At 38.9% G+C, this 17,223-nt stretch overlaps 1 protein-coding gene across 4 annotated transcripts in view; it reads right to left on the reverse strand.

Annotated features, from left to right (window-relative positions):
* MOXD1 (monooxygenase DBH like 1) overlaps positions 1-17,223 on the reverse strand; it is a 105,421-nt gene that overhangs the window by 81,475 nt on the left and 6,723 nt on the right. The window contains exon 1 of one of the 4 annotated variants that reach the window (XM_047418622.1): positions 14,178-14,730. The exons of 2 other annotated variants lie outside the window; for them this stretch is intronic. In XM_047418622.1, coding sequence (XP_047274578.1) covers positions 14,178-14,180 — 3 coding nt within the window. In that variant the 5' untranslated portion in view covers positions 14,181-14,730. Of the gene's footprint in view, positions 1-8,956; positions 8,976-14,177; positions 14,731-17,223 lie in introns of those variants that run through there. One more of the 4 variants, XM_047418621.1, reaches the window with a different exon arrangement.

Here is a 17,223-nt window from a genome sequence, read left to right on the forward strand (position 1 = left end):
TCCTTCCAGCTATTCCACCTTTTTCTGGCTTTTCAGATAACTTAGTTATTAGAAAATGAGAGAAACTTCACTCAACTTATGTTGATGACCCCTTGCGCCATCTGCCCTATGTAACCAAGTGAGTGCTTAATATTTAGAAAAGACAGCTGCCAATTATTTCAAAGTTCTGAACTCCCGGAAAAAAGAAGCAGTTGTCTAAAAGAAGCTCATATCTTCAACCTTACTGAAGGAAAATATGGTTGGATCTTATTTGAAATAAAATTTAAATATGAACTAACCTAACCACCATGGTAATTCCACTATAATTTTTTTCACAGGCTGGGCGCAGTGGCTCATGCCTGTAATCCCAGCAATTTAGGAGGCCAAGGGGGGTGGATCACCTGAGGTTAGGAGTTTGAGACCAGCCTGGCCAACATGGTGAAACCCCGTCTCTACTAAAAATACAAAAACTAGCCGCGCGTGGTGGCAGGTGCCTGTAATCCCAACTACACGGGAGGCTGAGCTGAGGCAGGAGAATTGCTTGAACCTGGGAGGCGGAGGTTGCAGTGAACCAAGTTTGCGCCATTGCACTCCAGCCTGAGTGACAAGAGAGAAACTCCATCTCAAAAAAAAAATTTTTTTTTCATATTTTCCAACTTTGAGGTCCTATTTTGGAGGCAGATCTTCAGATTTGACTATAATACACCTTAGCTATCCAAATAATATTATTATTTAACATGTTTACTTCAGCTGGGCCCTCACTAATGGCTGGAAATCCATGTTAATCTCTTGCTATTTTCTGAAGACACCTCCCAAAACAAATAGTCTAAACCTTCTCTATGCAAGATTCCGAAATTTCCCCACCCTCAGCTTATGATCACACATCTCAGTTTATTGAGAGAATTTCAGTTATGATGCATGAGAGCTCCCATTTTCATTCTTTCTATCCTAAAAAATATCTACTTTATGGAATCAAAATAAAAATACTGATTGTAAAAGAAAGCAGAAAAAGATTAAAAAAAGCAAAGATGGAATAAATAGAAAATAGATGTAAATGAAATGGAGAAACATCACAATAGATCCTACAGACACTAAAAGGTTAATAATATTATGCTTACCTTGAAGCCAAATAATTGGATCCTTTAGATGAGAAACAAAGTCCTTACAAGACAAAAACCAGCCAAAGTCATTCAGAAAAACAGAGGTACTCTGAATAGCTTTATAATCTACTCATGGGTAAAAACCTTCCTAAGAAAATTCTAGGCCAAGATGCTTTCACTTGGAATTTTACCAAATATTTAAGGAAGAGGTAATACCAACTGTTCACAATTTCTTCTGGAAAATGAAAGAGGACAGAACACTTCCTCTTTTTTTTTTTTTTTTTTTTTTTTTTTTTTTTTTTTTTTGCGACAGAGTTTCACTCTTGTTGCCCAGGCTGGAGTGCAATGGCATGATGTCAGCTTGGTGCGATCTCAGTTTACTGCAACCTCCGCCTCCTGGGTTCCTAATTCCTTTTTTTATACCAGCATTACTTTGTTACCAAAATTAAAGACACTACCAAAAAAACTACACACCATCAACACTCATGGACCTAGATGGGTATTTCCTTAAAAATAGAAATAGAAATATTTCTTAGCAAATAGAAGCCAGCAACATAAAAAAAGAATAATATAGCATGATCATGCAGAGTTGTCTTAACATTAGAAAATCAATCAATATGATTTAGCACATCAAAAGTCTAAAAAAGAAAAACCATATGATGAACCCAATAAATGAAGAAAAAAACAGTTTATAACATTCATTCACTGCAGAATCCCTCAGTAAACTAGCAATAGAAGGGCACTTCTTCAACCCTTTAAAGGGCACCTATAAAAAACCTACAGCTAACATACTTAATGATAAAAGACTGAATTCTTCCCCCTAAGTTTAGGAACAAGTCCGGGAAACAAAGCAAGGCACATTCTCCACGTGGAAAGCCCTACAGGTGATTGTCCACCTTGAACAGTTTATTTCTGTTATTCCCTGACTCTATTTTCACCTCCCATTCTCTAACTAAGGACTTCAAAGTTCTGTCCTTAAAATTATATTTCTGTCTTCATATTTCACCATTTGGGAATCTCATCTGCTCCAATAGTTACAAATTATCACCTTTATTCAGTATCACATATTCAAAAGTATTTTTCACTTGGAAGTCTTATTGTCATTTCAAATGCAATGGATCCAAAATTGTATTCATATTTTACTTGAGTTCCTGAATTTCTTTAATTACACTACTATTCTCCTAGCTATCTAAATTCAAAACTGTAGTCTTTATTTTTCTTTTCTTTTTTGAGACAGGGTCTCACTTTGTCATCCAGGCTAGAGTACAGTGGTGGAATCACAGCTCACTGCAGCCTCATCCTCCTGGGTTCAATTTTATTTCTTGTAGAGATGAGTTTTCACCACGTTGCCCAGGCTGGTCTCAAACTCTTGAGCTCAAGTGATCTGCCTGCCTCAGCCTCCCACAGTTCTGGGATCACAGGTGTAAGCCACCATGCCCGGCCTGTAGTTTTCTTTAACTTCTTTCCTGTGACTCACATCTCCACACATAGCCCCTGCTTCTATCAAGTCTTCCTTTGAAAACAAACCTACCTTTTAGTTCTATTTCATTTTCACTGTTCCTATCTCCCACACTCCACGTTTACATACTCTGTCATAGTCTTCCTTGAAAAATCACCCTCAGTGTGTCATTGCATTTTATTCAACAGTATATAGTACAAAGTCTATAATTTAGAGTCCAGGTTTCCTCACATTGAGCCTAACCTGGCTTTCCAGGTTACCTATTATCAATCTCACCACGGGACCTGTACTAATTGCTCCCTTCAATTACTCTGCCTTTTCCCAGCTCTTTGCTTTTGTTCACATTCTTCTTCCCTATCCCCCTACTCTCTTCATTCAACTAAGATATCTTCTCCACTAACTCCACCTACTGAATCTCTTTTTCCTGCTAAGGCTCATGATTCTATTTCCCCTATGAAGTTTTCTTTGATCATTCCAACCAGAAGTGATCATTCCCTCTCTGAATTCCTATTCCTCTATTTACATTCCCATGTAGCATGCAATCTATTTTAGGCATTGCCTTATCTTTTCAACCATGTGATAATTGCCTAGAATTCAAAAGTTAATCTTAGTATTTCAGTTATAAATTTGTGCCTTTAGAATACTTATTTACATTGTCAATGGAACAAAAAAAGGGGGGAAGACAATTATTTTCCCATTTGCTCTTAATTATATTTACACATGGTTAAGACCGGATATGGATTGTGTTTAACCAGATGCTAGAATGAGTTTGGGTCTGCATGATCTGTCATACAGACACATCTGGCACTGAAATCTGGGAATGTTGTTGTGACCTTTTAGCCCCTACACGCACATGAATCTTAGGAGACCGACATTAGTATTCAGAAAAAAAAGGGTTTATACATGCAACAACTATTTTAAATCCTTTTACACAAGGAGATAATCCCCTACCTATTTTAAATAAATAAGAAAAAAATAGATCTAAGAGGGAGAAGTCATGTTTCAGAAGGTTTTCTGATGTTAATTTATATCCTCAGTACCTAACAAAGTGACTGGCATATTGAAGATGCTCATGAAATACATGCATATATTTGAAAAGGAGCATCCTGCTTTTCTTTCTGTTAAATCTAAATAAGGAGATAATTTTGAAAATAAAAGATAAAACACAAGAACCTATCATCTGATATTCACAGCTTTGTGGTATAGAAATAGTTTAACTTAATGAGACCAAAGTATTCCCCAGTAGTACCTTATTTCTTCTGTCTGTATTAAGAAAATACATGGACTGTAATCAAACACAGCCTTAATGCTGTCAATATTATACAACAGAAGTGGCATATTGGCCAATCTTAAAAGCACAATTAAATGAAGTAAAAGAAGAGAAAAAGGCAAAAAAAAATTGGGATCCTAAACTTCATAGCATTCAACTATTCTTGCCTAGAGGATGAAAAGCCGAAAAGAAAAGAGGGAAATAGAAGGAGAAAAAAAAAGCAAGCCACTGAAAGCACAGTCAGCAATAAAACCATCAGTCTTGAGATTCAGATTGGTTAAACTGAAAAAAAGTGTTAAATGAATTTAAGTCTCCTGACAGTCTGACAAAGGGATAAATGTTATTCAAGTGGATAATCAATGGATAGGTTATTGTGTTACTATCATCCTCTAGGAAAAATACTAGAGAATGAAACAGACACAGTAAAACATTGACCAATTAAGAGTTTGAATACAGGTAAAGTCACTTAGAAGTTGACATTCACAAAACCATACTGTATAGTACTTAACAGATACTTAAGAAAACTTCCTACATCATTTTCACTACATCTGATTTCACCTTTAGAATTAGAACCAAATGACATCCTCACCCACTCCTCATTTTATTTAGCAAATAGAATCAAATGCAGCTCTATTATGCACTCATGGTAAAGGCCATTCCTCAGCTATCTTCCTATGGTGCTTTATATTCCAGGATTTGAAAAATAAAAATAGAAATATTGATCACTGTGCACTCTCGTTGTCATGGCCTGATATCACAGTCATTATAAAAATGTAATTGTATAATATACGTATTTAACATATCATATACACATATCATAAATATACAATATTGATAAAAGTCACTCCAATTAAGAATCATTAAAATTAGACTTTATGTGGGTAAGAAGGATAGAGAGGATTCAGAGAATCATGATTCTGTATAAATTTTGTAAGAATTTAAGGAAAAAAGTAGATGTTTTTTAAAATGTAAATATAAAAGCTGATATACAGAAGTCATTCTCACATTTATACAGTATTAATGATCTGCAAAGTGAAATATACTTGAGGTAATGTTATTCTATATAAATGGCTTTATGTGGCTCTCAGTCATATTCTAATTCAAACACTTTGATTTAGATCAGTTTCAATATGAATCATCACTGAGGTATGATTTTTTTGGTTTTGTGGATTATATTGATTATGTATTTAGCTTGTTTATACATTTTTAGATAAAAATTACTTGTTACACCTGAAAATGAGTTAATAATTCAATTCCAATAATAAAGCTAGTTTTCAGTTGTACCGTAGACTATTACTCCTGAAACATGTTGTCACAAGATATTTTTTCTTTTGAACACTTCGTGCTTTGAAAAATGTATGAAATATATACTTGAGGTTTCAAAATGCTATGTAGCAACAATAACAGAAATTGCCATTAGAAGCTGATAGTAAGTTGACATCTGTTATTTAGCATGATAGCCTCAGTACTTGCTGTCACTTTCAAACTGAGATAACATATACCAAAAAAACCTTGCTATGACCTCTTGTTTAAAAGCATGATGACACAGATGTTAAATTGGTTCTCACTCATTGTCAGTCTATTTTTCTCTCAAATAAAATCTTTGACTGGTGCTGTGTTACACAGGAGGAAGTAAAAACTCTTACGGGTATAATAAAAGATATGAATAGACCTTGGTTGAGCTTGGAAAACTGAATGTAAGCACAGCTGCAGGGAGATTCTTGAGAAAAATGTTACCATCTGTCATCATTTTCTTCAACAGGTGCTTGTAGTTTTTCTTTTTCTAAATCTCAAAAGCCTCGTTACTTCAAACATTTGTTTATAATATCAATTTCTACAATAAGTGTTATGGTGGTTTAATAATATTGATAGTATAATAATAAATATTTTGTGTTAAAGGGAATCTTTGATCCTAAAAAATCACAGAGCTGTACAAACAAATTATATAAACACAATCTTCAGAGTTCAATATAAGCTGATCTTAATAAGTTATTTCTTCAGTAATCTTAGAAATTTAAGTGGAATGTCAAAATAGAAGGCACTTACCTTTTAGAAACCACTTCAGATAAAGCTGAAACTGTCTATGTCTAATAAGGGATCTGTTAAATACCTACTAAAATGCCAAAATATGAACCCTGTAGCTAGTGTTCCAATGAGAAAGAGGCCCACCTGAGCAACCTGTTTGTTCTTTAAGTGTCACCTTCTAAAAATGAACATCCTGAATTTTCTCCCATGCCAACTGTCTCATTTCAGTTGTCACGTAGGATAATGTAATACCTTGCTATAATTATAGAATCATGAAAGATACAGCATAAAATCAAAATTTTGACTCTTTATTTGGAATAATATATTTCAGTGGAAAAAACAATTTCAGACTACACCATCTGAATAAGATACTACTTTGCCTTCATCCTATCCCATCACCTTAATTTTTAAAAAATTTGGATGATGGCTGGGTGCAGTGGCTCGCACCTGTAATTCCAGCACTTTGGGAGGCCAAGGCGGGCAGATCACCTGAGGTTAGGAGTTTGAGGCAAGCCTGGCCAAAATAGTGAAACCCCATCTCTACTAAAAATACAAAAATTAGCCGGTTGTGGTGGCTGGCGCCTGTAATCCCAGCTACTCGGGAGGCTGAGGCTGGAGAATCACTTGAACCCGGGAGGTGGAGGTTGCAGTGAGCCGAGATCATCCACTGCAGTCCAGCCTGGGCGGCAGAGCAAGATTCTGTCTCAAAAAAAAATGAATTATCTTAACTGGTTATGTCTATTTTTTGCAAGGAATAAATTTTGAAGTTAAAACTAGTTCTTTCCTTTATCCTTCCCTCCCTTTCTTCCTCTCTCCCTTCCTCTCTTCCTTCCTCCCTCCCTCTCTTCCTTCCTTCCTCCTTCCTTCCTCCCTCCCTCTCTTCCTTCCTTCCTTCCTTCCTTCCTTCCTTCCTTCCTTCCTTCCTTCCTCCTTCCTTCCTCCCTCCCTCCCTTTCATTCTTCCTTTTTTCCTCCTTCTTCCCTCTCCTTTCTTTCCCCAGCATATACTTTATTGAGTTACTATTCTTCAGACCTTATGTAGGGTTGAGGATACATGACTATACTGGACAGTAGACAATGGAACTTATAGTTTAGTTGGGGGGGACAGACAATTTCTAAAGAAACTTAAACAATAAAATATCCAACAATTTTTAGATAAATACTTACAGAAAAATAAAACAGAGATAACAGGGGGATCAGAAGGCTATTTCAGGGTGAGTGATCAGAAAAGTCACCACTGAGGCAATGATACTTAGGCTAAGAAGTAAACCACAATTAGGAACCATCCATGCAATGTGTGGAGAAAGTAGTTTCCAGGAAGAGATTAGCTATTGAAAAGGGCCTGGACAGGAGGTTGGGTTATCCAGTGGGATGAAGCAAATAAAAGCCAGTGGGACTGAATTACAGTGCCCAAAGAGGTCCCTGAGGTCAGCAGAGATCAGATGAGGCCCTAAACACTGTGATAACTTACATGCCATTGTAGGGAGCTATAAGCAGCAAGTGGCATAATGTGTATCTGTATCTGTATCTCTGTATTTCTGTGGCTTCCATGTGAGGAATGAGGAGAAGAAGGAATAGGAATGGTAGTTGGAAGACACTCAGGAGCCTGGCAGTGGTCCTGCAGGTTCAAGCTTGAGTGGTAGTATCACTGGAGAGAGGTGGGCAGGTGTTAGATTTAGTTTCGAGGAAGAGTCAATAGAACTTGACGATGGGTTTTATATATTGGGTGAAGGAAGGAGCAGAAAGAAGGATGGCTTCTAATTTTTGACTGGAGCTAAAGCTAACAAGAAGTGCCATTTGTAGAGATGGGGAAGCCTGGGAAGGAAACAGGTTGGAGTTTAGTCAGGTTAAGTTTAAGATGCCTACCCAGAAGGAAGGCCAGGAGGCAGAGAACATGTAGACTGTTCTTAGGTCAAAGTAATGTACCACCAGGGGAGGGGCTCAGGACCTCAGAAACTTCACGCTCAGCTTTGCTTTTGAAGCCCTCCACCTTCTTTTGAGTATATACCAGTCAGAAAACATTCTTTTCCCTCTTTTAATTATTTTTTCAGATTTCAAAACTTATACATAACAACTATAGAGAATTCAAAATATACTGAAATTATTATTATTATTATTATTATTATTATTATTATTATTAGAGACACAGTTTCACTCCATTACCCAGGCTGAAGTTCAGTGGCACAATCTTGGCTCCCTGCAATCTCCATCTCCTGGGTTCAAGCGATTCTCATGCCTCAGCCTCCCAAGTAACTGGGATTACAGGTGCCTGCCACCATGCCTGGCTAATTTTTGTATTATTAGTAGAGGCAGGGTTTCACCATGTTGGCCAGGCTGGTCTCGAACTCTGGAACTCCTGACCTCAAGCGATCTGCCTGCCTTGGCCTCCCAAAGTGCTGGGATTACAGGCGTGAGCCACTGAGCCCAACCAATATACTGAAATTAAAAACAGGAAAAGAGGCCGGGCGAGGTGGCTCACGCCTGTAAATCCCAGCCCTCTGGGAGGCTGAGGCGGGCGGATCACGAGGTCAGGAGATCGAGACCATCCTGGCTAACACGGTTAAACCCTATCTCTACTAAAAGTACAAAAAATTAGCTGGGCGTGGTGGCGGGCGCCTGTAGTCCCAGCTACTCGGGAGGCTGCGGCAGGAGAATGGCGTGAACCCAGGAGGCGTAGCTTGCAGTGAGCCGAGATCGCGCCACTGCACTCCAGCCTGGGCGACAGGGCAAGACTGCGTCTCAAAAAAAAAAAAAGAAAAGGCCAGGCGCGGTGGCTCACGCCTGTAATCCCAGCGCTTTGGGAGGCCGAGGCGGGCGGATCACGAGGTCAGGAAATCAAGACCATCCTGGCTAACACGGTGAAACCCCGTCTCTACTAAAAATACAAAAAATTAGCCGGGCTTCGTGGCGGGCGCCTGTAGTCCCAGCTACTTGGGAGGCTGAGGCAGGAGAATGGCGTGAACCCGGGAGGCGGAGCTTGCAGTGAGCCGAGATCGCGCCACTGCACTTCAGCCTGGGCGACAGAGCGAGACTCCGTCTCAAAAAACAAAACAAAACAAAACAAAACAAAACAAAAAAAAAAAACAAAAAAAAAACGGGAAAAGAGATGAAATAATCTCATAACCATTGTGATGATAATGATTCAATGCATATCTATCCAGAGACCAGGCAAACTTCTTGAGGCAGGTGAAAAAGCAATATAGACAGTTTTATAGTTGCTAATGTCTTCCCTTCCATTCATTTCTTGAATAACCTGAAAGTGTAAATGCAAAGTAATTTTAGCATCACACGTAAGTTGGAAGACAGGCTGAAGGAAACCTAATCCCAGCTCCCACCAAAGGAGAATTTGTCTCAAAAATGTTTTAAGAAATGATCACACAGTATTTAATACTTCCAGTGACAATGCTCATGATCTCACAATCTTACAAGGCAATCTACTCAATTTTAATATCTCTGCTTGTCAGAAATGTATTCCTTATAGTAAGCTAAATTCTTCTACTCTTTCATTATATTTATTGGGTCTTCTCTTCTTTCTTCTGGGGCTTAATAAGTAGGCACTAATCCACCTTTCCTGAGCAAGACTGTACACTACAACGCCAAAGACAATGATCATGTCTTTCTCATTGTTCTTTCTCCAGGCAAAATATTGCCAGCTGTTTTTTTTTCCTCAGGTACTCAGATTTCCCAAGGTTTCAACCATCCTTGTAATTCTTTGATATGCTCCAGTTTATCCATATGTCCATTAAAAGCTATTTCCAGAAGGAGTCCTCTGGTGTGGTCAGCCTAAGATAGGGTGCTATGTCAATATTACTTCCTTTGATATGAACAGTAGAATTTTAGGCTAATGTTGCATTTATCTGTTTGGCAGCCACATTGTATTGAGCTAATACAATATAGCTAATACGTAGAGCTTTTTCCTATGAATTCCAGTTAAGTACAATTTTATACTGTGTACATGCACAGATCATTTTTTAACAGAGTTGTTGAACTTTACTTGTATTCCCAATGAATTTTTAACTTTTAGTTTCCTTTTATTATTTAAGAATATCGCTATCTTTTAAGTCCTCATTATGTAACCTAATGTAGCCAGTCTATTAATAATGAGTTTGGGGTGGAGCACGGTAGCTCACACCTGTAATTTCACCACTTTGGGAGGCCGAGGCAGGTGGATCGCTTGAGGTCAGGAGTTTGAGACCAGCCTGGCCAACAAGGTGAAACTCCATCTCTACTAAAAATACAAAAATTAGCCGGGTATGGTGGTGCACGCCTGTAATCCTAGCTACTCCGGAGGCTGAGGCAGGAGAATCATTTTAACCTGGGGAACGGAGGTTGTAGTGAGCCAAGATCGCGCCACTGCACTCCAGTCTGGCAAAAAAGTGAAACTCCATCTAAAAAAAAAAAAAAAAAAAAAAAAGAGTTTGGGTATAGGTTTAAAATATTTAGGATTATAACTAATTCAACTTTATTAGTGCATCCTCTACAAGGATATAGTGAGAAACCCTGCAAAATACCTTACTATTACTCAGATGCACTTATATTTAATACCCTAATCTACAGGTCCAGCAAATCAAATGCAAAAGAAAATGCAGTCTTGTATAATTTGTGTACTGAAACCATACTGGTCTCTAGTCATTAATGATTACAAGGTGTTCACAAACCAATTACTTCAAGTTTGACTTCGAAGTTTTTTCAAAAATTACTATAATCTCTCCCACCTATATATTTAGTGGAGACCTTTCCCCTAAGTTCAAAAGCTGGAATATTTGTCTTCATGTGGTCTTCTGACCATCGTCTCATTACACTAAGCGATTGATTCATTATATCTTGTATTTATTAAGTGTTTTCAGTGTGTCACATACTCTCCTAAGAATTTTACATGCCTATTTCATTTAATCCTCACAAAAGCCCATGCATTAAATATGATCTCCCTTCTTCACAGAAAGAAACTGTCACTTAGGTTAAGGAGTTTGCCAAGGGCCACACAATGAATAAGCAGCAAGCAGTGCTGGGATTCACACCCCGTCTAGAAGATTTCCTGCTCTTTACCGCTCAGCAGATATTTATTGAATATCTGCCAAGCACATGGAATCATTCCTGGTACCTCTAGAAGATTTGGCAGCATTGACACAGTCATCAACTTGCAAATGTTCCTTCCATACTCTAATAAGATACTAATTATCCACCACTGCTGTTACTCTTCCTCCTCCTCCCTTCTGCAACTATAGCTTGAGGGCATTTCACTGCTTATTAGTAACCTTGGAGAATGGAGAGGAAAGGGAAGGGAAGGGATATCTATTTACATAACTGGAAAGACGCTGGAGAATTTTTCAGAATAAAAAGGGGGTCCATTTTGTTACTGTTAATTCTAATAAAAGACTTTGGAGAAGAATACTTCTCTTGGCTTAAATACAAGCCTAGAATTACCTAGGACTTTCATTTACTAATGAAATGAAATAACATTGCTTTGACGCCCTGTGACCACACACAACTGTTAAATTTTAAACTCTGTGTGTGCAGTTATTCGTGTTGCTTAGAAATACAGCAGCTGGTACCGGTTGACAAAAGGTGTGTAGGAATGGGAGAGGGCTATGAGGATGAAAGAAAGGCTCCTAGTTCAGAAAATTTTGAAACACACCTCTACCCTCAGTTCAACGATTGCTGTGTCAGTCCATAAATTATTATTATTATTATTTGGGGGACAGAGTCTTGCTCTGTTGCCCAGGCTGGAGTGCAGTGGTGCAATCATAGCTCACTACAGCCTCAAACTCCTGGCTTCAAGTGATCCTCCTGCCTCAACCTCCTGAGTAGCTAGGATTATAAGCATGAGCCACTGTGCCCAGCCCTCACTATATAAATTAGAGAAAATACTTACTCATTAAGCTTATCCCAGAAGGGTTTCCATGCCAGGAAAACCAAGCTTATTTTCCTATCTTAAAAAATAATCTTAAATGTGCAAGCACATGCTAGCCCTTGTTTAAAACATCAGATGGTCACTCTGAATGGCTGTGTATGGAATCTTGCTTTGTATCCCCATGTCCTATGTCTGCAATTTTCCATGCTTCTGCAGGTTGAATTGCCTGATTCCTATCAAACAACCTAACCATATAAGGTCAGTAGTTACTCAACTTGGCCCACATTGGAATCAATGGAGAAACTTGAAAAATATATTAATGCCTGTGTCCACCTCCCAAGGATTGTGCTTTGACTGGTGGGGGATGGGGTTGCCTGGGCACTGGAATTATTAAAACATCTCCAAGTGATTCTAATGTGCAGATGAACTTGAAATTTTGACATAGGAATAAAAAGTATCTTTCCCAGTTCTCACTTCTCTATTAACTTGGCCTGCTCATGACTGGACTGCAATCTGCCATAGCATGAACTCATCTTGGCCCTATCCAAAAGGATCTGGGTCTGCCAAGTACCAGGAGGCCTAGTGTCTACCTGGTTACATCTGTCATGAGTTTCCTTTTATAAGTGAGGTTTCAATGTATAAACTTCATAGAAAAAAAAGGCAGACATTTAGTTTTTCCTAAGAAACTTGAGATTTCAAAGTTTTAGTTTAAAAATTGCATGAAAGATGGAAATCTTCCTCAGGCATACATTTTTGTTGATCTGTCTTCTCAAAGGCCTTTAGCTCTCTAATATTATTGAAGATGAGAAAGAATACAGAATATAAGAGAAATACATCAACGCCTAGTATTAAGAAAGAAACTTCTATAAAATCACCAAGTCTCTAGATCAAAGCTTGAAAGACTCTAGCTGAGCTTACTAAACATCTGTGTAACAATGCCACAGAAATAGAAAAGAGAGCTCATGCGGTTCAGACACATTTGAAAAAAACATTAATTATATTTTCCCCAGGTAGGTAGTTTCCTGTATTCAAGGTCTACTGAGTTCTTTGATGCCTATGCCAGATCATCTTCTTCATAGTACATAATGCTTTGAATTGTACACACTATGGTTAACGTCGAAAGACAACCTTCAAAACTTGGGACACTTGTTTTCTTTCATGTTTTGAGTATCAGCATCCTGATCTCAAATAGCCACACAGACACACTGCTTATCACATCACTCCGTTTTAATTATCTGCACAGCACTTAGCACTTAGTACTTTCTGATGTTTCTCTTGCTTATTTATTTGTTTAATGCTACCCCCACCACCACAATACGGGCTCCGTGATACCAATGGTTTTATCTCATTCAATGTTGTGTCCCCAGCATCTCGAAGTGTTCAATAAACATTCAGTGAATATTCAGTAAATGAACATTCCAACATTCTGAGTACTTTCCTGAAACAGTCATATGACAGCCACAGACAATTTCCATGCTTTGTGACATGAAGGCCCACATTTATACACCTACAAAATGAGAGTAATAAGATATTGACCTCACAGGACTATCACGAGAATTGCATGAGAACACACTGTAAGGACTTATCACAAGGTATGGCATATGATGAATGAAAAATCATAAAAATCATATTATGGAAATGTGTCAGTGTGCCATTTATAGTGGAATAAAAGCAGTAAGAGAAATGCCATGATTTCATTTTATCAATTTGTTTAAAATGTATCTGATTATACATGTTCTTTCACTATTTAGGAGGAAAATTAACATATGTTTTTATGTAAGCTACAGTTTGCTTTCAGGAGAAGAAGAGTACCAAACTGGGACTCAGAGGAATAAATCCAGGCTGCTGATCTGTATGGCCCAATACGCCATTTAATAGTTACCTAAGGTTTAGTTTTCTCACCTGAAACATTGAGGGGAGAGGCAAGGAAGAGTAGGAGGTTTGAGGGGAATCAACCGAAATATGAGCTCTTAAGAGGCAGCGAGTAAATATGCAAAAATCAATATTTAGCTCATAAAAGAAAGAATGGCGTCAAGATTTTCTCACAATGTTTGGCTAAATTAGATGAATAAGATAGACCTTCATAATAAATTAAATCTGATCTATACATTATTTGTATGATACTCAGATATACAATCCCTAGCTTACAGTTAATAAAAATTATCCATTTGAAATTATTTTTGCAGACATTTTTGCGTATATGCTATATGGTGTCCTTATGAACAGCTTTTTTTTTCTACTGAAATTTAACAAGTTAAAAAGAAATAGATTTAGAAGAAGCTTCCTGGAGAAATGTTTTTCCTGTTTAAAAGTTCTTTACCAGTTTTTTTTAAGTTACAATAAAAAGCATTGTGAGTCATCCATACGCAGTTTTTTTGTATTACGTATGGATCAAATACTTCCAGAAACATGACAATGTGTAATGAATTCATCCCCTTCACCAGTAACTTTATTTTAATATGGCTCTATTACAAATGAAAAATCAATAAACCACCATTCAGTTTCTTTGAAGTAGACTCTTGCCTCTCCTTCCAACACTCTAGAAATATGCCATTGGTTGCCTAAAGCCTTGAACTTCGTTTGTCAATTCAGGTGCATTGTTTCCTTGGCTGTTAGGTCTGCCTGTTTCCTCAGGCTAATTATGAAATCATCTGCTCCGCCAGGAAGAAGCACACAGCTGAAGAGCATCATCCTGTGTTCCAGCATTACTGTGGAGCATGTGTCCTTATTACTAATGCACAAAGCACGACACTTGGAGAAGTCTCTTCGTTGCCTGGAAATTGGGGGGCATAATCTGAAGACTTATAAATATCTCTTAACAAAGCACCAGCTGAGCTGTGTCAGGGTTGCACACTCTCTTCATCTCTCCCTTACAGCCTTTCAATTTGCTTTCCAAACATTTCTTTGTCGCCGTTGGCTGGGGTGTGCTTAAAAGAAGCACATCGTTAACCACAAAGAATGCTCACTGTTTTCTGTGATTTCAAATCAGTTCCAAGCACTTCCTCAGCAAGTGGCCCGGCAGCAATTACCCTGCTGCTGAAGACACTTCGCATCACAGGCCTCAGTTTTTGAGACAAGCAAGCAAGGCTGTAAGAAATGATAACATATGTTTCAGCCTCCATTCACCAGCGATTTATACCCCCATAAGAAGGGTGAATCAATTTTCATGCAAATTCAACAGGCATATTCAACAACGTTGCTCTCTTCTCTAATTCACACAAACTCAGCATTCATCGGCTGCATTACTTGCCTCAAATGGGCACTCACAGTTGCTAAATGATTCGGGCGGGGGTGGAGTTGCTCTGTGTCAAAAAGGGGCAAAGAACAAGGAAAGGACATGAATCCATCAGGGCAATGAGAGCTGAACTGATTCACTGAGACAAAATAGTGAGGTTTTGAAAAGCCAGTGCAAAAGGAGATGGCTTCCCACCTCACCCTGACACTTCTGTGAAAGATGGTGTAGAAACTGACCTCGGCAGCATTCAAGGGAAATGTTTCCACAAGCATGAGCTGCTCCAGAACAATTTATCCAATAGATTATGTTGAGATAGGCTTCACTTTACAACCACATTTCTCTCTTTTCTTTCCCATCTTGATCATACCTGTTAATATCCTCTTTGCGGAAATATCTCCAGAAGGAGTCAAAAAGGTTAAAATGGGCAGCGCAAATTTCCATATGCCAGGTCCCTGGATATAGTTTTAAAGGGCCTGTGGCCTTAAGTAAAATCTGATTTCTTAACTCCACAGGTCTGCAGGTAAATGTCACACTGCCCTCTGGAGGTAGTCTCATTGGATCTAACCCTGAATTAATGATTGCCAGCTACTGAAAAATATATGGTTGCTGAATTTCAGAAGTCTTTTTCTAGGGTGGAGAGGGTATAGAATAGGAGGACAGTTGAAAAATTACCAACTGCTTCCAACTCCTTGTGAGTGGAGTGAGTGTGTGTGTGTGTGTGTCAGACAGAGAAGGGGGTGGGAAAAGGAAAGGAGAATAAGTAAAGATTGCCCCCAATTTCAGTAGTGCCAACAGAGAAAGGATGCATGTAGACAGGAAGCTTCAAGATGGCTGACTAAATGCATCTGGTACTCACCTTTTCCAGAGAGAGGAGCTAAAATAGCAATTAGATAATCACATTTTGAATAGATCATCTGAGAGAGAATACTGGAATTCAACAGAGAAGTGATGGGAAGCACTGAAAGCAAGGAAGGAGAGGGAAGCAAGGAAGCCAGCTTAGCTGGGATCAGCTGGGAGCCCGGAGAGGCTCCTTAATGTGAGGAAAGGGTAAGTGAGAGACACCAAGTGGTCCACATTCCTGCCACAGAATTCTACAATGCTAGCCATAGGAGAGCCCCTGGACTCTCATGGGCCCTGAGACTCACAGAGAACTGCCTAGAGATCACATAATGGCATTGTTCTAGACAGGGAGCTCATGCTGAGTCCTACAAACCCCCAAGTCCTAAGCAGCTGCAGCACTGTGCCATTATGAAAGCCCCGCCCCTGCCAGAATGTGTTCTGCCTGGGGGCCCAAGAGCCCCTGCACCTCCATATCCCTGGAGCCCAACTGACACTCATCACCCACAGACACCACTGTTGGGCTGAGGCAGGAGCCACTGGAAGTGACCTTGCCACCCCAACAAAAAGGCAGCTATACATTTTCATGTGCCATCTGCAGGACTGAGGACCAGCTTGCCCAGTTCATCATGGACATCACCAACACCAGCACTGACCACTTGGGTTCCAGAAAGTTGTCCCACCACAGCTACTGCCATTGCCACAGCATACCTGCTACCCAGAAGCATGATAACCTGCCCATCCTCCTGACCCACCATGATATTCCCAGCACCTGGAGAGGCTAATGCTCAACCCACTGCTGCCACCACTGAGGCCCAAAGACTGGCCCACCTAATGTCCTAGTTCCCAGCAAAACTTCACCACAACCTCCACTAATAATCACACCCTAAACCACTGAGGAAATCACAGACACCACTGACACTGTTTACAGCTGGAAAAATTACACAGAGACTATACAACCACCCACACCTAGAGTCAAGGCCAAAGTGCCCTACCCAGCCAACACCGTAGATAAATCTTCAAGAAATGTCATCCCCTATGAAAGCAAATTCAAAAAACTGGAGCAACTGTTATATCAGATGCACAAATGATCAATGTAAGGACACAAGAAGCATGAAAAAATAAGGAAATATGGTATCTCCAAAGGCACACCATAATTATCCAGCAACAGATTCTCATCAAAAAGAAATTTAAGAAATACCCCCCAAAAAAGAATTCAAAATATTGATTTTAAAGAAGCTCAGTAAGACACAACAGAATACTGAAAAATAATGCAAAGAAACCAGAAAAGCAATTCAGGAAATAAATGAGAAATTTACCAAAGAGATAGATGTCATAAAAAAAGAGACCAAACAGAAATTCTACAACTGAAGAATTCATTGAATTAAATAAAAAATACATTCTAAAGTTTCAACAACAGACTAGATGAAGCAAAAGAATCTCAGAACTTGAAGAGAGGTATTTTGAA

Source organism: Homo sapiens, chromosome 6 (genome assembly GCF_000001405.40).
Source record: "Homo sapiens chromosome 6, GRCh38.p14 Primary Assembly".
NCBI lineage: Eukaryota > Metazoa > Chordata > Mammalia > Primates > Hominidae > Homo > Homo sapiens.